Source organism: Homo sapiens, chromosome 8 (genome assembly GCF_000001405.40).
Source record: "Homo sapiens chromosome 8, GRCh38.p14 Primary Assembly".
NCBI classification, from domain to species: domain Eukaryota; kingdom Metazoa; phylum Chordata; class Mammalia; order Primates; family Hominidae; genus Homo; species Homo sapiens.
In genome coordinates this window covers 104,569,426-104,590,306 of record NC_000008.11, presented here as the reverse complement: position 1 = coordinate 104,590,306, position 20,881 = coordinate 104,569,426, and the positions used below count along the sequence as shown (strand labels likewise).

General features: G+C 39.3%; 1 protein-coding gene across 2 annotated transcripts in view, besides 2 other annotated features; it reads left to right on the top strand.

Moving 5' to 3' along the window:
• Window positions 1,011-1,350: a silencer, noted in NCBI's record as "silent region_19461". NCBI's record gives its function as "represses an Ori minimal core promoter by ATAC-STARR-seq in GM12878 lymphoblastoid cells {active_cell/tissue: GM12878}" and the evidence as "EXISTENCE:reporter gene assay evidence [ECO:0000049][PMID:35858748]".
• The window catches only part of LRP12 (LDL receptor related protein 12), a 100,023-nt gene continuing 80,190 nt past the window's right edge, over window positions 1,049-20,881 (top strand). For both annotated transcript variants that reach the window (NM_001135703.3, NM_013437.5), the window contains exon 1: window positions 1,049-1,488. In NM_001135703.3, coding sequence (NP_001129175.1) covers window positions 1,410-1,488 — 79 coding nt within the window. In that variant the 5' untranslated portion in view covers window positions 1,049-1,409. The remainder of the gene's footprint in view (window positions 1,489-20,881) is intronic.
• Window positions 1,781-1,890: a silencer, noted in NCBI's record as "silent region_19460". NCBI's record gives its function as "represses an Ori minimal core promoter by ATAC-STARR-seq in GM12878 lymphoblastoid cells {active_cell/tissue: GM12878}" and the evidence as "EXISTENCE:reporter gene assay evidence [ECO:0000049][PMID:35858748]".

The window sequence follows — 20,881 nt, the reverse complement described above, 5'->3', positions numbered from 1 at the left end:
CTAGAGAGTTTGCTGTGGTATAGGGGCAACAATCTTTACTTTGGAATGAGAAAAACTGTTTCAAACAACTTACTTGCCATGAGTAATTTAATTTCTCTCTTTTCTATAAAACATGGGTAATATTTATCTCACAAGGATGTTTGGGATTAAAAAGTGACAACCTATGTCAATAGGACAGCATGATGCAGTGTAGGTCTTCAATGAATAGCATGGAGAGTGCTTGCAAAGGGCAACGATAAAATCTAATATAAATAAGACGTTGTAGACAAACGCTTTAAAAACACAGGGGGTAAGGTCTGATGTGCCAGCGTCACTACAGACGTACTTAGAAAAGTGTTCTGGGGATCTAAGTAAAGGAGGACTCCCATTTGCTGGGAGTGAGAAAAGAGCTTTAGGGAAACTGCAGCGTGATGGGCGAATCCTCCTTTCAATATATCTACCCTGAAAGTCGGCTCCAGCCCTGCCGAACATCCTGGCCCAGCTGCACCCGACCCAGCGTGAGATGTCAAATGACCTCTTGGCGCTTCCACGCCAGACTGGAGGGGCTCTGCACAAGCCTTGCCCGACTCATTCCGGGCACCTTGAGCGTGGGAGTCCACACTGCCCCTTGACCGACCAGCTGCCAGGTTGGCCGCACTAACTTGAGCCCACCCCCACTCGAAGCTCCGCGCCGACAGCAAGTGGAGACTTGGGGGTACCGGATAGAGGAAGGAACTCCCAAGTTGTCAGCTTCAGACCATCCACGCCTCCCCCAACACGGAACCACCTTCAGCCTCCCAGCTGGTATCCCACCCCCCCTCCCCCCACCCGCTGGGCCAGAGCCCAGCCCTCGGACAGCGACCGTGCTCCTCCACACACCCCGCGCTCCAGCCCCTGGGCATCCAGCAGCCGGCGTTCGCACGCTCTGTCATCGATTGGCGCTGCCTTGCTCCTTGGGCTCCCGTCGCGTGGAAATCGGCCCGAAACTTGGAAAGTCCAGCGGAGCGCGGGGAGGGAACCGAGGCAGGCGGGCCAGGGGATTGCCGATCGCACGGATGGGCGCGCGCTCAGTCTGGCGAGTGGCGGCGCCGGCTAGCCCGAGCGGCGCGAGGCCGGAGTCCGGCGTCCGCCACCCTCTCGTCTCGCGCTGGCGCGCGAGCTCCTTGCCCTTGCCCCCAGGAGGGCCGCCCCGCGTGGGGCTCTCGCACCGCCCGGGGTGGGAGCAGGCGAGCCGGAGGGAGGAGGGAGGAGGGAGCGCGCGCGGGCGGCGGCGGCCCCTCCCTTCCCCCTCCCGCAGCCGCGGAGAGCGCAGGGAGCAGCCGGTGGCTCGGCGGCGGCGGCGGCGGCGGCGGCGGCGTCGGCGTCGTCTACCTCCAGCTTCTCCTCCCTCCTCCTCCGTCTCCTCCTCTCTCTCTCCATCTGCTGTGGTTATGGCCTGTCGCTGGAGCACAAAAGAGTCTCCGCGGTGGAGGTCTGCGTTGCTCTTGCTTTTCCTCGCTGGGGTGTACGGTAAGTGTCCGCGTCCCCGCGCCCCGCTGACCGAACAAAGCTGAGGCGACCCGGGCCCCGAGGCCTCCAGGACGGGGGTTCCCCTGGAGACTCCCGCGGAGACCCTGGCTACCGGCGGGACAAAGACCGGTGAGGGGGTGGATGTGGCGGAACGGGTGTCCCCACACGGAGATGCTTTTCTCCACTCGTCCACCTCCAGACCCTCGGGTGGTGGAGAGGGGCTGGGGGGCCCGGCCGGGAGGGCCCCGGCGGAGCGAGGGGGTGGCGGGCGGACTTCCCGACCTGGGTTCGAGGGCCCCCGCGGCCAGTTGCTCCAGGACCCGTAGCCTGGCACAATCCACACACAAAGATGCTTGACTGTGAGAAAGCAGAGGAGCTCGCCCCCGCCGCTGCCGGGACGGTCCTTCCCCCCGCCCCCTCAACCCGGGGTTAGGAAGTTCTCTCACCGGCGAGATTCCCACCGCGCCAGCCCTTGTCCTACTCGATTCCCTGAAAAGGCTTCCCGCTGACTTCTCCCCACTCCACCTCGGGGGCAAGGGCTCTGCCGAATCCGGGCGTGCAGGGTCCTGTTGGTTCCCCGGGAGCAGCACGCGGGAGAAGGCCAGAAAATAGTTTCCAGCCCCACCTCAGTCTCTCCTGTTAGGGTGTACACATCTGTCCTGACTCCTAGTTCAATTGTAATTTCATCCATCCTCGTCCGCCGCTGTGGTCACTGTTACTTTATTCCAGTCGATGGATCGGGTTAGAGATAACTCCTTTCGGGTTAAGAGAAGGCTGAAGACTGTGCGGACAGCTTTATATTGCGTTGGGGTCTGAGCAAGAGCTGAATGGAATTAATTGCAAAGAACATCTATCTCTTAAGATAATTAAGTTACACTTCTGACTTCACCGTTCTTAGTTCATCAGTTAAACACACTGAATAGGTATTTCAGAGAGCTCAGTTTTAACCTTTCCTTTTTGGAGTGTTGCTCTGATTTCTCCAGAAAAAGAATTAGAAGATATCATTACTTTGGTAAATTTTACTTATAAAAAGTCTAATTCATTTGCCACAAACATTGATTTGACTAGTATAATGGTGGTGGTGGTGAGGTTTAGTCAACAGCCAATTTGTCAGCAAGTGTTATCTCTTTTGAAGGCATTTATCTACGGAATTGAATGTGATGGTGGCTTTTGAAACCTGGCAAGTGACGCTAAATGAAGAATTAATGAACGTAATTGGGCATTTACTGACAGCCAAGAAATTCTTTTTGGTACAATTAAGGATGTGTTGCTCCCGTACCTGATTAGTAGTATTTTTGTTTGTTTTGGTGAGGAGAGTAGTTTGGTCCATTTTTTATGTAGGGGTAATTGCCAGAGGTGTGCTTGTGTGGGACCAAAAACCCAGTACACGACTTTTGATTGTTAGCTGCATCAAGTGGCTGTAATCCCTGCTTGCCTGATGACTTGTGGGTTTGGGTCTACACCAGAGATCAATAAGCTATTACGTTGTTTCTTCTGCCCTGAAGGTGGGTATAGTTCTGCTCTAGGTTTGGTGTAATGGCCCAGGAGAGAGAAGAAATTGAGAGGTATCTTTAATTTAGGGTGATTAGGATTGTCCAGCTTTGTCCTCTACTATAATAAGCATTGAATTTCTGTGATGTCCGATCAGAATAGATAAATAAATGGGCTCTTCTTTCATTAAAACCTGTGTCATCAGTGTTTGAACTAGAAGTCTTTTGCCTCGAGGGATAAGAGGCTGTGAACCCCTCAATTTGTTTTGGTGCATTCTTTAGTACTTGTACACAAAGTGACTTTCTGGTAGGTGCCTATCAAAGCTTTTATCTTTTTGGAATTTGTGTTCAGTGAGGAACACAAATTGTTAGTAAGCAAAGACTGAAACTCCTTTTTCCAACAGTGTGGGCCGCAGATTATAAAACCAGCAGGTGATTATGCCAAAGGTTGATGTCTCAAGCCACAGCAGGTTTCAAAGTGTAAAAAAAAAAAGGAGGTAGTGAACCAGGCAGAACATTAAACTATATCAGCAGAGATTAAAGGGAACCCTTCACCCTGGAACTGAGAAATCCTCTTTATGGCTGCATGTTTTTTGTCCTCTTCTGTCTCTAACCATATGTGGGTTTATAATAGTGAAAAAGGGCTGTAACAATAGTATGGGGTGGATGTGGTTCTATAACAATAGTGGGAATTGAGTAACTTAGAATATATAGTAGTTGTAATGGGTGGTGGATGCATCCTGAGAAATAGCTGTCGCCTTGAGCCTGTTAGAACAGATACTAGCTGTAATTTATGAAACTGTCCTCTATACAGTAAAAAGTGTGTGTGTGTTTTAAAAGGCTTCAAAAATAATTAGCTCTGTTAATGAAACTGAATATTCACAATCACTGTTAACAAAGAAAAGCAGGTTGATTGGCCAATATTTAGGGAACTCCAATATTAATTCTTCACAGAGTGACTCTTAAATGAAATGACTCTAAGGTGTGCTTCAGATTTTTGAAACATTTCACATACATAAAAAAATTTTTTGTTGTTTATTTTGGTGCTACTTTCCAGATGACGATTTTATGGGCTCTGATATGTGACTGTTGTACTTCCAAATTAACTTTTCTGAATGCCAGAGTCTTACCTGAAACTCTAAATTGTAATCTAGAATATAATGTTTTCTAGAAGTAGTTGTTCAAGGACCTGTAATTATCTTTCAGGGGCTACTGTATCTTAACCGCATTCAATGTGCCTAAGAGTTAGGAGAGAGTAAAGGTTGACCTCTGCCACCTTTGAAAGTTTGAAGGGATAAAAATATCAGTGGTGACAACCACAAGCTTTGCTACGCATTGTCCTAGGCTTACTGTAAGAGGAAAAAGTGCTTTGTCATTTTTCACATAGGGATGTCTCGCTTTTACAAATCTATGGGAGTTTCCAAAACCTCTGTCTCCTAGTCAATAGAAGCTGTTAGTCTTGCTCACCTCCTAAACCACAATTTGGTAATTCTGACAGTTCCGTTGCTTTATCCTTTCCACTTCTGTTTGTCTCCCAGATTAGTGTTTCCTAACTTTTACTCAAACCCACCCTTAAAATACACATTGCTTCGGGTACTATGTACATAGAGAAAAAAGTTAATGAAATCGTACTCTTAACTACCTGTGCACTCAGATGTTTTCTATTTATTCCTCCTCTTTCTCACCCTTCCCTTCTTCATTTGCTGGTCTGGACTCATTAAATAAATTTTGGATCCACTAATAAATTGCAGTCCTTAGCTTGAAAAACACTACCCAAGATGAAGCCTTAAAATATAGTTTAGAGGCCAGGCGTGGTGACTCAAGCCTGTAATCCCAGCACTTTGGGAGGCTGAGGCGGGTGAGTCTCCTGAAGTCAGGAGTTTGAGACCAGCCTGGCCAACATGGCGAAACCCCGTCTCTATTAAAAATACAAAAATTAGCCAGGTGTGCTGGTACATGCCTGTAATCCCAGCTACTCAGGAGGCTGAGGCAGGAGAATCACTTGAACCAGGAAGGTGGAGGTTACAGTGAGCCAAGATTGCACGATTGTATTCTAGCCTGGGTGACGAGTGAAACTCTGTCTCAAAAAATAAATAAATAAATAAATGTAATTTAGAATGTTTCTTGTTTGTATATCATTTTACAATAAACTTCAAGAGTTGCAGATGGTTAATTTTTGGTTACTTGCTGCCAGAGCATTTGATAGTCGTAGAACTGTTCACAGCATATACTGATTGACTTGTGATAAAATTCATTTTTAAACTGGTTTTCAGCTTATTACAGTCAAGAGTCTTTACTGTTCACAGTAGTATTCTAGATGTTGTGGTAGCCTAAAATAATCTTTTTACTTTGCATATATGTAATGGATGAATCTTTTCCCATGAATTTTATGGAATGTTCAGTAGCACTTAATAACTGGTTTAAGGGTAGACAAGAAATTCCAATTTTAGAAAGGTTGTAGAAGTAACTGGAACATGAGGGAAAAATCTAAACCAGATACCAATTACTTCTTACAAAGTCAAGTTTGATTACATAAAATGTGTTGAATAAAATTGAATTAATTGCTTAACATAAACCCTTCCTTGAGTTCAGAATCTAAATTATATCCATATCCTTGGGAGAATATGAAGGTGGGCAGCACATTCCACAAAATTCTAGGTGGTTATCAGGGCAGAAAGTATTAAACAAGCACTGTTAACTGTATTCTAGATAGAGTATGGAGGAGATTTGAATGATGTATGGTAAATGATTTATAAGGTTCCTAGAAAGTAAAATTTCTTTTGAAGAACATAAAAGGGATTTTAGCCTGAAAAGTGAGCAGCAGTTAAAGAAAATGTTGAGATTTACTTTTGTAATTAGAAAATTTAAAGCTTATTAAAATATTAAGGGAACAAGAGGGCCTTTTTGTGTTTCTGATATGAGATGTTGTTCCTTTTTTTTTTCCCCACTTTACCAGTGATACCACAATTTAAGGGGTGAAAGTTCAGTAAAAATATATATGAAATATAAGTGAGAATTATATAGATTTAAGTAAACATAGAATATTTTTATTTTAGATATTAATCCTGTTCTTACTGCAAGTCTTTATAAGAAGAGGAAGGTTGTTCTAAATTTAGGAATTGGAAGTTGATGATCTCTAATTTCTAAGGTTACCTTTCTTTTCTGTTTTTCTTCTTTTCTCCTTATCACTCCCTGCTTTTTGAGAGAGTTAAGTAATAGATGTACATTATTTATTCCCATTTTCTAAAATTTAGGATTAGATCCTGCAAATACAAATTACCAATGTATCTATTCAAATACATGTTATCAGAGTCTCTTCTTTTTAAGTATATATAAATATATTATTTCAATACTGTATTAGCTTAGGGAATTCTTACTGTCTAAGTTATAGAAGGGAAGGAAGGAAACTAACATTAAATTAAGTTTAATAGCACTTATTTACTTACAAGTACTTAATACTTACATTGAAAGATGCGTGATTAGTCTTTATTTATTGCCAATTAATCTTTAGTAGGTCTTATTTGGCAATCCTGTCAGATATGTACTCTTTCTTTTGTTTTATGGAAGAGAACATTGAAACACAGAAATATTGTGACTTAACTGAAGTCAAACCAGTATGAAGTAGTAGAGTCAGGATTGTAGCCTAACCCTGGCTGTCTCTTCACTTAGTTCATTTAGCAAATATTTATTGAGCCCTTGCTTATGTCTAGCACTGTGTTAGATAAAACCTGATGCACATAGTTTCTGCCCTCATGGAGCTTATAGTCTAATGAATAAGTTGTAATAAGTGCTCTCAAAGAAACAGACATGGGGCAGAGATAGTGAGTAACAGGCACAGAGTAATTAGGGGAAGACTTTTTCATGAAGGGACGTTTATGAGACCTAAAGCATAGCTAACTGTGTTATGGTTGGGTAAGAAAGCTTTACATATGAGAACAATGCATGAAAGGCCCAGGATCAGGAAAGAGCTGGTATGTTGCAGATAAATTACTAAAAACACTGTAACTGGAACATAATGGTTGTAAGGGAGAGTGACAGGATGAGATTAGAGCAATACTTAGAAACTCTAGGATTTAGAATCCATGGTAAAGAGTTTGGGTTTTATTTTAACTATTTAAGTGACATAATGTGATTTATGTTTTGAAACAGTCACATTTGCTACTATGTGGAGTATTGTTGTGAAGTGGGAAACAGTAGAGATGGGATGATCAGTTAGGAGATTTTGGCTGTAATCCAGGTGAGAGATAACAGGAGCTTGGACCAAGGTAGTAGTAGTGGAGATAAAGGAGTGTAGGTTGCCCTGTTGATAGAGATAAGGGGATTTTTCCTCTTGCCGTAAGAGGTAAAGAAGAAAATATTGGTGCAAGTGTACTTAGGTCTGTAGGTTTTGGGGTGGGAAGGTGGACATTACATCTGATCGTTCTTATTTTCTCAAAGTAATATGACATAAGATCATCAGTGAAGAGGAGGAATGAGAAGTTGAGGGTGATTTTTGTTCCCTCAATTCAGTAGAATGGTTTGGACGCTTAGCAAGTTAGATTTCTGTTATTTAATCTAGAATAGAGAAGGCTATGAACACTATACAAGCACATATATTATGAATAGTTGTACAGCAGATGACAGGAAGAGATGGACTTAAATTACAAGGGGAGGAACCTTAAGAAGGGTTCTGTGGAGAACTCAGTTCTGAGGGCAGTCATTTTGTCAATGAAATAAGTATAGAACATAACTTTTTACAATGTTTTAAGTGTATTTCAGGCAAGAAGCAAAGGGTGGAGCAAAAGCTGGATTTCCAATACCTTTTTGCCAAAGTTAAATGCTTTCTGCTAAGCTATCAATAAAGATTGCTTTAGAAATCAGATTGTCTTTGGTAGAGGCAAGAATGTATTAAAAGATTGGTGAATTTCAGAGCAGATTTGGAAAAATTGAGCTTTTATCTTTTTTTTTTATTGTGTAGCTTTACAGAAGATATAACTTTAGTAGGTCCCAAAACTTCAAAGTAAATAAAACTGACAAAAGAGTTTTCTAGTTTTCCTCTTAAATAGTTAATAACTCATTTACTTGCTGGTATCAGTTTGGTGAAGATGTGAAATTGTTTTATGCTCATGTTTTGTCATTGAGTGAGACTAACTTGATACCTACCTTTAATTCACTTACATTTCAGTTTTTAGAGAAATTAAAAATGATGCCAATCTTTTAATATTAGGATTAAATGGAGCACAATAGGATGTTTAGTAGTTGGAATTTACTTTTTCAAATATAAGTGAGTAAACCTTTCATAATCTGACTTAATTTCATTAATAGTTAAGGCATCTTTTTACATATATTGGAGAAAACATAAGAATAATCTTTGTATCTGATATATTTTGAAGTAGAATTGTTTCGTGAAATTATTATTGCTTGTGAAAGTTTTGCTAAGAGAATACAGAACACCTATACAAAAAATGCCATGATTAATTCTCAAAATCATTGTGTGAGGTAGGTATTATTAGAAGAAACTGAAGCTTTGAGAATAGTAGTTTTGCCTAAGGTTCATGTCTGTCTACTGCTGTGCTCTTCGTGTAGAGGCCCATTATTTTTTTTTTGTCTACATTATTGTAACAGCCACCAACTAGTCTTAGCTCTAGTCTTGTCCTGATTGAATCATATCACACTTAGCAGTAGCCAGAGTGACTTATCTAAAGTACAGATCTGATAATGTAACTTTCTTGCTTAAAACCCAACAGCAGTTCCCTGTTCTTAAAATATAAATTAAACTCAGCAGAGCTTTCATGATCTGGCTAGTTTTTTTTTTTTCACTTTTAAGTTCAGGAGTACATGTGCAGGTTTGTTATATAAGTAAACTTGTGTCATGGGGGTTTGTTGTACACAATTATTACATGGGGGTTTGTTGTACATAATTATTAATCTGTTTGTTGTACAGATTATTTCATCACCTAGTGATATGTTACATCATATCTAGTGATATCTGTACATCATATCGTATATAGTACCCAGTAGTTATTTTTTCTGATCCTCTCCTTTGTCCCACCCGCCACCTTCTGACAGGCCCCAGTATGTGTTGTTCCCCTTCCTCTATGTGTCCATGTGTTCTCATCATTTAGCTCCCACTTATAAGTGAGAACATGCAGCATTTGGTTTTCTGTTCCTGCATTTGTTTGCTAAGGATAATGGCCCCCACCTCCATCCAAGTTCCTGTAAAGGACATGTTCTTGTTCTTTTTTATGACTACATAGTATTCTATGGTATATGTGTACCACGTTTTCTTTATCCAGTCTGTCATTGATGGGCATTTAGGTTAATTCCATGTCTTTGTTATTGTGAATCAGTGCTACAAGGAACATAACACATGCATGTGTCTTTATAATAGAACAATTTATATTCCTTTGGGTGTATTCCCAGTAATGGGATTGCTGGGTCAATGATATTTCTGTTTTTAGGTCTTTGAGGAGTCGCCACGTTGTCTTCCACAATGATTGAACTAATTACACTTCTCCCAACAGTGTACAAGCATTCCTTTTTCACCACAACCTCGCAAGCATTTGTTATTTTTTTGACCTTTTAATAATTAGCCATTCTGACTGGTGTGAGATGGTATCTCATTGTGGTTTTGATTTGCATTTCTCTGATTGGTGATGTTGAGCTATATTTCATATGATTGTTGGCTGTATGTATGTCTTTTTTTGAAAAGTGTTCATGTCCTTTACCCAGTTTTCAATGGGTTTTTTTCTTGTAAATGTGTTTTAAGTTCTTTATAGATTTAGATTAATTTTTTGTTTGTTTGTTTTGTTTTTTTTTTGAAACGGAGTCTTGCTCTGTCGCCCAGGCTGGAGTGCAGTGGCACAATCTTGGCTCTCTGCAAGCCCCGCCTCGCGGGTTCATGCCATTCTCCTGCCTCAGCCTCCCGAGTAGCTGGGACTACAAGCACCCACCACCATGCCCGGCTAATTTTTTTTTTTTTTTTTTTTTTATTTTTAGTAGAGACAGGGTTTCACTGTGTTAGTCCTGATGGTCTCAATCTCCTGACCTCGTGATCCACCTGCCTGGGCCTCCCAAAGTGCTGGGATTACAGGCGTGAGCCACCGCACCCAGCCTAGATTAGTTCTTAATAGATGCTGGATATTTTGCAAATTATGAATCTTTGTCAGATGCGTAGTTTGCAAAAATTTTCTCCCATTCTGTAGGTAGCCTATTCACTCTGTTGACCGTTTCCTTTGCTGGACAGAAGCTCGTCAGTTTAATTAGATTCCATTTGTCAATTTTTGCATTTGTTGCAATTGCTTTTGGCATCTTTATCCTGAGATCTTTGCCTATTTTTGTGTCTAGAATGGTATTGCCTAGCTTGTCTTCCAGGGTTTTTATAGTTTTGGGTTTTATATTTAAGTCTTCAATCCGTCTTGAGTTAATTTTTGTATATGGTGTAAGGAGGGGTCCAGTTTCAGTCCTCTGCATATGACTAGCCGGTTACCCCAGCACCATTTATTGAATAAGGAATCCTTTTCCTATGGCTCATTTTTGTCAAGTTTGTTGAAGATCAGTTAGTTGTAGATGTGCTGCCTTATTTCTGGGTTCTCTATTGTGTTCCATTGGTCTATGTGTCTGTTTTTGTACGAGTACCATGCAGTTTTGGTTACTGTAGACCTGTAGTGTAGTTTGAAGTTGGGTAGCATGATTTCTTCAGCTTTCTTCTGTTTGCTTAGGATTACCTCTGCTATTTGGGCTCTTTTTTGGTTCTATATGAATTTTAAAATAGTTTCTTCTAGTTCTGTGAAGAATGTCAATGGTCATTTAATAGGAATAGCATTGAATCTGTAAATTGGTTTGGGCAGTATGGCCATTTTAACAGTATTGATTCTTCTTACCCATAAACATAGAATGTTTTTTCATTTGTTTGTGTCATTTCTGATTTCTGTAAGCGTAGTTTTATAGTTCTCCTTCTAGAGATCTTTCACCTCCCTGGTTAGCTGTGTTCCTGGGTATTTTATTCTTTTTATGGCAGTTGTGAATGGAATTACATTCCTGATTTGGCTTCAGCTTGACTGTTGTTGGTGTATAGGAATGTTAGTGATATTTGCACATTGATTTTATATCCTGTGAATTTGCTGAAGTAGTTACCAGCTTAAGAAGCTTTGGGCCCGAGACTATGGGGTTTTCTACATATAGGATCATGTCATTTGCAAACAGGGATAATTTGACATCCTCTCTTCCTATTTAGATGCGCTTTATTTATTTCTTTTGCTTGATTACCCTAACCGAGACTTCCAGTACTATGTTGAATAGCAGTGGTGAGAGAGGGCATCCTTGTCTTGTGTCGGTTTTCAGGGGTCATGCTTCCAGCTTTTGCCCATTCATTATGATGTTGGTTGTGGGTTTGTTTGTCATAGACGGCTCTTATTATTTTGAGGTATATTTCTTAATACCTTGTTTACTGAGAGTTTTTAATATGAAGGGGTGTGGAGTTTCATCAAAAGCCCTTTCTGCATCTGTCAAGATAATCATGTGGTTTTTGTCTTTAGCTCTCTTTATGCGATGAATCACATTTATTGATTTGCATATGTTGAATCAACCTTGCATCCCAGGGATAAAGCCTACTTGATCACGGTGGATAAGCTTTTTGATGTGCTACTGGATTTGGTTTGCAAGTATTTTTTGAGGATTTTTGCATCAGTGTTCATGAAGAATATTGGCCTGATGTTTTCTTTTGTTGCCAGTAAGTTTTTTGTTTTTGCTTGTTTGTTTTTTTAATACCAAAACCGCCATCAGGTTTTGGTATCAGGATGATGCTGACCTCATAGAATGAGTTAGGAGGGAGCCCTTCCTCTTCAATTTTTTTGAATAGTTACAGCAGGAACAGTACCAGCTCTTCTTTGTACATCTGGTAGAATTCAGCTGTGAATCCATCTGGGCATTTTTTGGTTGGTAGGCTGTTTATTACTGACTTAATTTCAGAGTTTGTTATTAGCTTGTTCAGGGATTCAGTTTTTTTCCTGGTTTAGTCTTAGGAAGGTGTATGTGTCCAGTAATTTATCCATTTCTTCTAGATTTTTCTAGTTTATGTGCATACAGGTGTTTGCAACATTCTCTGATGATTGTATTTCTGTGGGGTCTGTGGTAGTATCCCCTTTGTTGTTTCTGATTGTGCTCATTTGAATTTTCTCTCTTCTTTATTAGCCTAGCTAGTGGTCTGTTTTATTAATTTTTTCAAAAAAAAAACCAGCTCCTGGATTTGTTGATGTTTTGAATGGTTTTTTGCATCTCAGTCTCCTTCAGTTCATCTCTGATTTTGGTTATTTCTTGTCTTTACTAGCTTTGGGATTTGTTTGCTCTTGGTTCTCTAGTTCTTTTAGTTGTGATGTTAAGTTGTTAATTTGCAATCTTTCTAACTTTTTGATGTGGGCATTTAGTGCTATAAATTTCCCTTTTAATACTGCCTTAGCTGTGTCCCAGAGATTCTGGGATGTTGTATCTTTGTTCCATTGGTTTCCAAGAACTTTCTTTTTCTTTTTTTTTTTTTTTTTGAGATGGAGTCTCGTTCTGTTACCCAGGCTGGAGCACAGTGGCGCAGTCTTGGCTCACTGCAAGCTCCGCCTCCCTGGTTCATGCCATTCCCCTGCCTCCCCCTCCCGAGTAGCTGAGACTACAGGTGCCCACCACCACGCCCAGCTAATTTTTTTGCATTTTCAGTAGAGACAGGGTTTCACCTTGTTAGCTAGGATGGTCTCAATCTCCTGACCTCGTGATCTGCCTGCCTTGGCCTCCCAAAGTGGTGGGATTACAGGCGTGAGCCACTGCTCCCGGCCTGTTTCCAAGAACTTCTTGATTTCTGCCTGAATTTTATTATTTACCCAAAAGTCATTCAGGAGCAGATTATTTAATTTTCATGTAATTGTATGGTTTTTAGTGAGTCTCTTAGTCTTGATTCCTAATTTGATTGCACTATGGTTCAAGAGATTGTTTTTTACTATTTCATTTCTTTTGTATTTGCTGAGGAGTGTTTTGCTTCTGATTATGTAATCAATTTTAGAGTACGTGCCATCTGGCAATGAGAAACATGTATATTCTGTTTTAGGGCGGATAATTCTGTAGATATCTGTCAGGTCTGTTTGATCTAGTGCTGAATTCAGGTCCTGAATATCTTTGTTAATTTTCTGTTTTGATGATCTAATACTGTCAGTGAGGTGTTAAAGTCTCCCACTATTATTATGTGGGAGTCTAAGTCTCTTTGAAGGTCTCTAAGAACTTGCCTTATGAATCTGGGTGCTCCTGTGTTGAGTGCATATATATTTAAAATCTTCCTGTTGAATTGAACCCATTACCATTATGTAATGTTCTTCTTTGTCTTTTTCGATCTGTGTTTTAAAGTCCATTTTATCTGAAACTAGGATTGCTTTTTTCTTTTTTCCATTTGCTTGGTAGATTTTTCTCTCTTTATTTTAAACCTATGTGTGTCATTGGATGTGAGATGAGTCTCTTGAAGATACCATACCTATGCATCTTGGTTCTTTATCCAGCTTGCCATTCTGTGTCTTTTACTTGGGGCATTTATTCCATTTACATTCAAGCTTAGTATTGATATGTGTGGATTTGATCCTGTCATCATGATGTTTCCTGGTTATTTTGCAGACTTGTTTATGCAGTTGCTTTATAGTGTCATTGGTCTGTATACTTCAGTGTGCTTTTGTAGTGGCTGGTAATGGTCCTTCCTTCCCATGTTTAGTGCTTCATTCAGGAGCCCTTGCACAGCACGTCTGGTGGTAACGAATTCCTTCAGCATTCGCATGTCTGAAAAGGATCTTATTTCTCCTTTGCTTATGACGCTTTGGCAAGATATGAAATTCTGGGCTGGAATTTCTTTAAGAATTTTGAATATTGGCCCCCAGTCTCTTCTGGCTTGTAGAGTTGCTGCTGAGAGGTGTGCTGTTAGTCTGATGGACTTCCCTTTGTAGGTGACCTGCTTTTTCTCTCTAGCTACCTTTAATATTTTTTCTTTCATTTTGACCTTGGAGAATCTGATGATTACACACCTTGGGGATGATCTTTTGAAATGTCTTACTTGAGTTCTCTGCATTTTCTCAATTTGAACGTTGGCTTCTCTAGCTAGGTTGGGGAAGTTCTCATGGATGATATCCTGAAATATGTTTACCAAGTTGGTTCCATTTTCCCCATCTCTTTCAGAGACACCAATGAGTTGTGGATTTGATCTCTTTACATAATCCCTTATTTCTCAGAGGTTTTGTTTGTTCCTATTCATTCTTTTTTCTGTTCTTGTCTGACTATCTTGTTTCAGAACGCCAGTCTTCAAGCTCTGAGATTCTTTCCTCTGCTTGGTCTGTTCTGCTATTAATACTTATGATTGCATTATGAAATTCTTAAAGTGTGTTTTTCAGCTCTATCAGGTCTGTTACATTCTTTTCTGTAGTGGCTGTTGTCTGTCAGTTCCAGCGTTGTTTTATCATGATTTTTAGCTTCTTTGGATTGGGTTTCAACGTACTCCTGTAGCCCAGTGATCTTTGTTACTATTCATATTCAAATTTCTATTTCTGTCATTCAGTCATCTTAGCCCAGTTCAGAACCCTTGCTGGAGAGGTGATGTGGTCATTTGGAGGGAAAAAGGCACTCTGGCTTTTTGAGTTTTCAGAGTTCTTGCTCTGGTTCTTACTCATCTTGTGGGCCTGCTACCCTCAATCTTTGAGGTTTCTGATCTTTGGATTTTTTTTTCCCTTTTATCCTATTTGATAACTTCGAGTGTTTGTGGTATAAGGTGGATCCAGCTGACTGACTTCATTTCTGGAAGATTTTAGGGGGCCAGTGCTCAGCTCCCGACTCCTGGACGGCTTGCTCTTAACTCTGGGGGACTTGTATTGGGCCCCGACTTTGTTCTCTGGTTCTTCAAGGCTTCGAAATCCACTGCGCTGGATTGGGGGACCAACTTGCAGCACCTGTGGCAGAGCACTAGCAGTGCCAGGGTGCCTGCCTTCCTGTGGGTGTTCACCACAGTGGTGGAGGCAATGCAGCTGGTCAGGGTGTCAGGGACCTGCTGCTGGTAACTGGAGGTGATGTTGGCTTGGGGCTCTAGTCACACTGAAGCTGATGTTGGCTTGGGGGCAGGGCACTGGTGGATCTGGATTCCTTCTCTGTGCCCTGCAAGCAGGAATGATCACTCAGGGGCAGGGGATCTGGCTAGTTTTTATCTTTCTGCCTCATCTTGGTCATTCCCCTTCACCCCTGCCCTTCCCCCTCTCCCACACCATGTTCCTGCCATACTTGTGACTTCCAGTCTTTATACACGCTGTTCCCTCTGCCTGCCTTATTTCTTTCTCCACCACTTTCTTCTCTAGGTTAACTCCTGCTGTCCTTCAGCTTTCTTCCCATTGCTGCCTCCTTTGGGGAGTCTTCCTGGTTCCTCAAAACTAAGTGCCCTTCTTAGAAGCATCTCAGATATAATGTGAGCCTCAAGTGTAAATCACATATGTAGTTTTGAATTTTCTATTAACCACATTTAAAAAAAAGAAACAGGTGAAATTAATGTTAATATTTTAAAACTAATATATCTAAAATACTATCATTTCAACACGTGATCAGTAGAAAGTAATTATTAATGAGAAGCTCTACATTATGTTTTTCATGCTCAGTCTTCAAAATCCGTTGTAAATTTTATACTTACAGCCCATCTCAATTCAACTAACCACATTTTAAATGCTGAAAGCCACTTGGAAAACAGTGTCTATTAAAGCTGTATGTAAACATGTCCTGTGGCCCAGGAATTCTGCCTCTAGATATGAACTCAACAGGTATATAATGTGTGACAAAAGACATGTACAAGAATATTCATAGCATCCTTATTGGTTATAATCCCAGACTAGAAACAACCCTATGGCCATCAGCAATAGAATAGATGAATAAATTATGGTATATTAGCATAAGATAATTCTGTTTAGCAGCAGTTTCCAAACTTTCGGGTCGCAGGACTCCACAGTTATTGAGGAATCCAAAGAATGGTTTTTGTATAGGAGCTATATATGTTTTTAAGAATATTAGGAATTAAAATTGAGTAATTATTAAAACATTAATTCGTTTAAAATGACAATAAGAAACCTATTACATATTACCGTAAATAACATGTTAAATAAAAATATGTAAGATGACAACTATATTTTCCAACAGAAACAAAAATTTTTTGAGAATAGTGGCATTGTCTTAGTTTTTGCAATTACCATAGGGTCAGATTTATATGTAAAACATATTTAGTATAATGCCAGACAATACTTGTTGAATAAATGAATTCATCTATCTATAAATGGAGTAAATTACATTTATGTGATTCCTAATGTTGAATCATTTTTGCATTCATTCATAGGGCATACCACCTTGCTAATGATATATTTTAATCTGCTAGAATACATTTACTGATAATTTTTATACTTTGCATTTATATTTATGACATCAGTCCATAGTCAGTCTTAGCTTTCTTCTGCCCTCTACCTCTTTTTTTCCTTCCTGTAACCTAACCTCCCTCTTCTTCTGCTTGATTTTCATATCTGTTAATCCATTCTTTTAGATGCACTTACGATCTTTTTTTTGTTGAGTTCAGTGTTTAGAAGTAGTATAAAAGATTCTAGTGTTCCAGTTATTATTATTTTGCCTTTTAAGATTAGAAAAAGAGAAGTAAGTGATTGTTTATGAACTATATAGGTACTGTAACAGGAAAGCAAAAATTAAAAATTTTGTACTAATAAATGCCGAGGGGAGAAATGTTTTCATTCCTAGTATGTTTAGACTTTATTTCACTAACCAAGATAATACAGATGAGCCTGTAAGAAGTAGATCCCTTCTTACGCATCAGCTATAGGATTAAGTAAGCCAGTAAGAGACCTCAGTGGAGATAGATCAGTTCCATTAGAAGTGGAACTCACATCTGAAGGCAGGAGCTGTGTGGGAGGTAAAATGGAGATGCTAAATGAGGACTGAGCTCAAGTCAGGGGGTAGGACTCCTGTATTCTGTCAGTAGGGTACATCCGGTTTGTGTGGATGACACTTTAAGACCAAACTAATTTGCTCAAAAAGTAGCAGACATAAAGTTAACCAAAATATGGCTCCAGTGCTATCTAAACTATGACCTAGTAGTGTACTAACATGATTACTTGTATGTAAAAGTATTTGCCCAGGTACAAAGGATGGGAGATTAAGGAGAACCTACTACTATCGGTGCTGCTGGAGTGGATCACTGCACAGGGGCTAGGAGCCATATGAAAAATACAATCGAGTATTAAGAAATTGCATAAATTACATTTGTATACGATTCAACTTAACATTATTTTTTCTACTACGTAAGAATAAGAATCTGAGTGTTTGATTTGATTGCTTTGTGTGGGTGGGTTAGAGAGAATTAGAATACATGATTTATCTCTGGTCTTTATTTTATTAATTCTTTTATTCCCTGATCTAAGTAGGGGGCTAGCTACGATAAATAGAAATTATGTTTTTTAAAGGTTTATTTGAACTCTACTCTAAAAGCATATGTCCATGATGCCTTTGGGGAAATAACTCTAATTTTCAATTCCTTCATCCTTGAGTCAGTTTTGCTAATTTATATTAAGTTATATGTTCTAGAACATTATTTTACCTGTATTTCCATATTTGCTTTAAATTTATAAATAATATTATTTTTAAAATATTTTCTACATCCGTGATTATATCACCATAGTCATTCCTAATACCCATCTGTCTCTTGTCTGTCATTCTTTTCTTGAACAGACTTATCAAAGGTTTCTTTATTTTAGACGTTCTTCTCAAAGAACCAGCTCTTGGTTTCATGCTGTACTGCTTTCCTTGTTTTCTGTTTTATTAATTTTCTTTCACTATTTCTTTATTTTGTTGATTTTTTAGCTGGTTGTTTATTTTTAAATTTTGTTTTATACATTATACAGTAAAACTGACTCTCTTTTTTTCTGGTGCAGTTATGTGACTGTTAACACATGTACACATTCATGTAGCTGCCACTAAAATCAGGATGTAGAACAGTTCATCACCCCCAGAAAACTCTTGCCTGCTCTTCCTTTATAGTCACAACCATGTCCTCACCCATAATCTGTGATAGCCACTGAGATGTTCCTAACCATAGTTTTGTCTTTTTAAGAATGTCATATAAATGGAATTGTCCAACACATAACCATTTGAGACTGACTGCTTTTACTCAGCATAATATCTTGGAGATTCATGCACATTGTTGCATCAATCACTAGTTTTATTCCTTGCCATTTTATGGATATACCACAGTTTATCAGTTCACCTATTGAAGGACATTTCCATTGTTTTCAGTTTTTAGCTATTATAAATAAAACTTCTACAAATATCCAGTACAAGTTTCTGTGTGGACATAAGTTTTTATTTCTCTAGGTCAGTGGTCCCCAGCCTTTCTGACACCAGGGACCAGTTTTGTGGAAGACAATTTTTCTGCAGACCTGGTGGGAAGGGAGGATGGTGTTGGAATGAAACTGTTCCACCTCAGATCATCAGGCATTAGATTCTCATAAGGAGCTCCCAACCTAGATCCCTTGCATGTGCAGTTCACAATAGGGTTTGCAGTCTGCCACCAGGAGGTGGACCTCAGGTGGTGCATTAGTCTGTTTTCACACTGCTGTAAAGAACTGCCTGAGACCAGGTCATTTATAAAGGAAAGAGATTTGGTTGACTCATAGTTCAGCATGGCTGGGGAGGCCTCAGGAAACTTATGGTGGAAGGTGAAAGGGAAGTAAGGCACCTTCTTCACAAGGTGACAGGAAGGAGAATGAACACAGGAGGAACTACCAAACAATTATAAATCATCAGATCTCATGAGAACTCACTCACAATTACGAGAACATCATGGAGGAAACCACCCCCATGATTCAGTTACCTCCACCTGATCTCTCCCTTAACACATGGGGATTATAAAGATTATGGGGATTATAATTCAAGATGAGATTTTGGGTGGGGACATAGGCAGACCTTATCAGGTGGTAGTGCTTGCTCACCCACCACTCACTTGCTGCTGTGCTGCCCACTTCCTAATAGGCCACGGCCCATTACTGGTCTGCAGCCTGGGGGTTAGGGACTCCTGCTTTAGGATAAATACTTAGGAGAAGAATTGCTGGGTCCTAAGTTACACATACATGCTTAACTTTTTCAGAAACTACCAAACCGTTTTCCAGAGTGACTATATCAGTTTGCATTCTGACTAGCAGTGTGGGAGTGTTTCAGTTGCTCTGCATCTTTGTCAGTACTTGGTATTGTTAATATTTTTATTTTTGTCATTCTAGAAGGGATATGGTGGTAGCTCGTCTGGTTTGCATTTGTATTTTTTAATGGCTAATGATATTGAACATCTTCTCATATACTTCTTTGCCATCTTGTGTGAAATGCTTGAGTTCATTACTCATTTTTAATTGGGTTGGTGGTTTTTTGCTGTTGAGTTTTGGGAGTTCTTATATATTTTTCCCCCCTCTGAATCTGTAGCTTGTCTTTTTTTTCTCTAGACAGTGCCATTGGCAAAGGAAAAGTTTTAAAATTTGATGAAGTTCAACTTGTCAGTTTTTTAATGAGTTGTTTTTTGTGTCATTTCTAAAAGCTCTTTACCTAATCCCAGATTAGAAAGGTTTCCTTCTGCTTTTTTTCTGAAAGTTTTAGAGTTTTATGTTACACATTTAGGTCTAAAATTCATTATAATTTATCTTTTTAAAAGGTATGAGGTTTAAAAAAGAGGTTCAGTTTTTGCATATGGATAACCACCAATTGTTCCAACACTACTTGTTGAAAAGATTATTCTTTCCCATTGAGCTGCCTTTGCACGTTTATCAAAGATCAAGTGGCTATATTTGCATGAGTCTATTTCTGGATTATATTCTGTTCCATTGTTCTGTGTCTATCATTTTGTCATTAACACACTTTCTTAATTACTGTAGCTTTATCCTAAGTCTTAAAATTGGGTAGCGTATGCAATCCTTTCAGTTTTATTCTTTGTAAAAATTAACTATTCTAATTCCTTTTCTCTTCCATATACATTTTAGAATCAGCTTGCTTTTATCTACAAAATGTCCTGCAGGGATTTTGATTGATACTATGTTAAATTTATAGATTACTTTAGGAAGAATTGATACCTTTACTATGTTGAGTTTTCTAATCCATGAATGCAGAGTTGCTCTGTTAATTTAGGTCTTTGATTTCTTTCATTAGTGTTTCATAGTTCTCAACACACAGATCCTTTGTATGTTTTGTTAGATTATACATATTTCATTTGGGGGGAGTTATAGGAAATAATATTGCTTTTAAATGTTGATTTTTAATTGTTTTTTGCATGTATATGAAATGTGATTGATTTTTGTGTTGACCCTGTGTCTAAACTCACTTATTAGTTCTAGGAGTATTTGTGTAGATTTCTCTCAAATTTTCTGCATAATTATGTCTTCTGTGAATATGGACAGTATTATTTTTGTGTTTCCCAACTATACACCTTTTTTTAATTTATTTATTTTCTTGCCTTATTGCATTGGCTAAGACTTTTAGTACACTGAGTAGGAGTGGTGAGAGTGCTTGCCTGTTTTCCATCATGGGCGGAAAGTATTTCAGATTCCACCATTAAGTATGTTAGCTGTAAGGTTTTTGTAGATGCCTTTTTACCAAGTTGAGGATGTTCTTTTGTATTCCTAGTTTGCTAAGAGTTTTATTATGAATCTTTATTATGAACATTATTATGTTGTATTTAGAAAAATCCCTTTTCTGTATCTACTCATGTCATTATGTGATTTTTCTTTTTTGACTGTTAGTATAATGGATTACATTGATTGACTTTTTTCAAATATATAACTAGCCTTTCATTCTGAGGATAAACCACTTGGTTGTAGTGTATTATGCTTTTTAAAAAATAA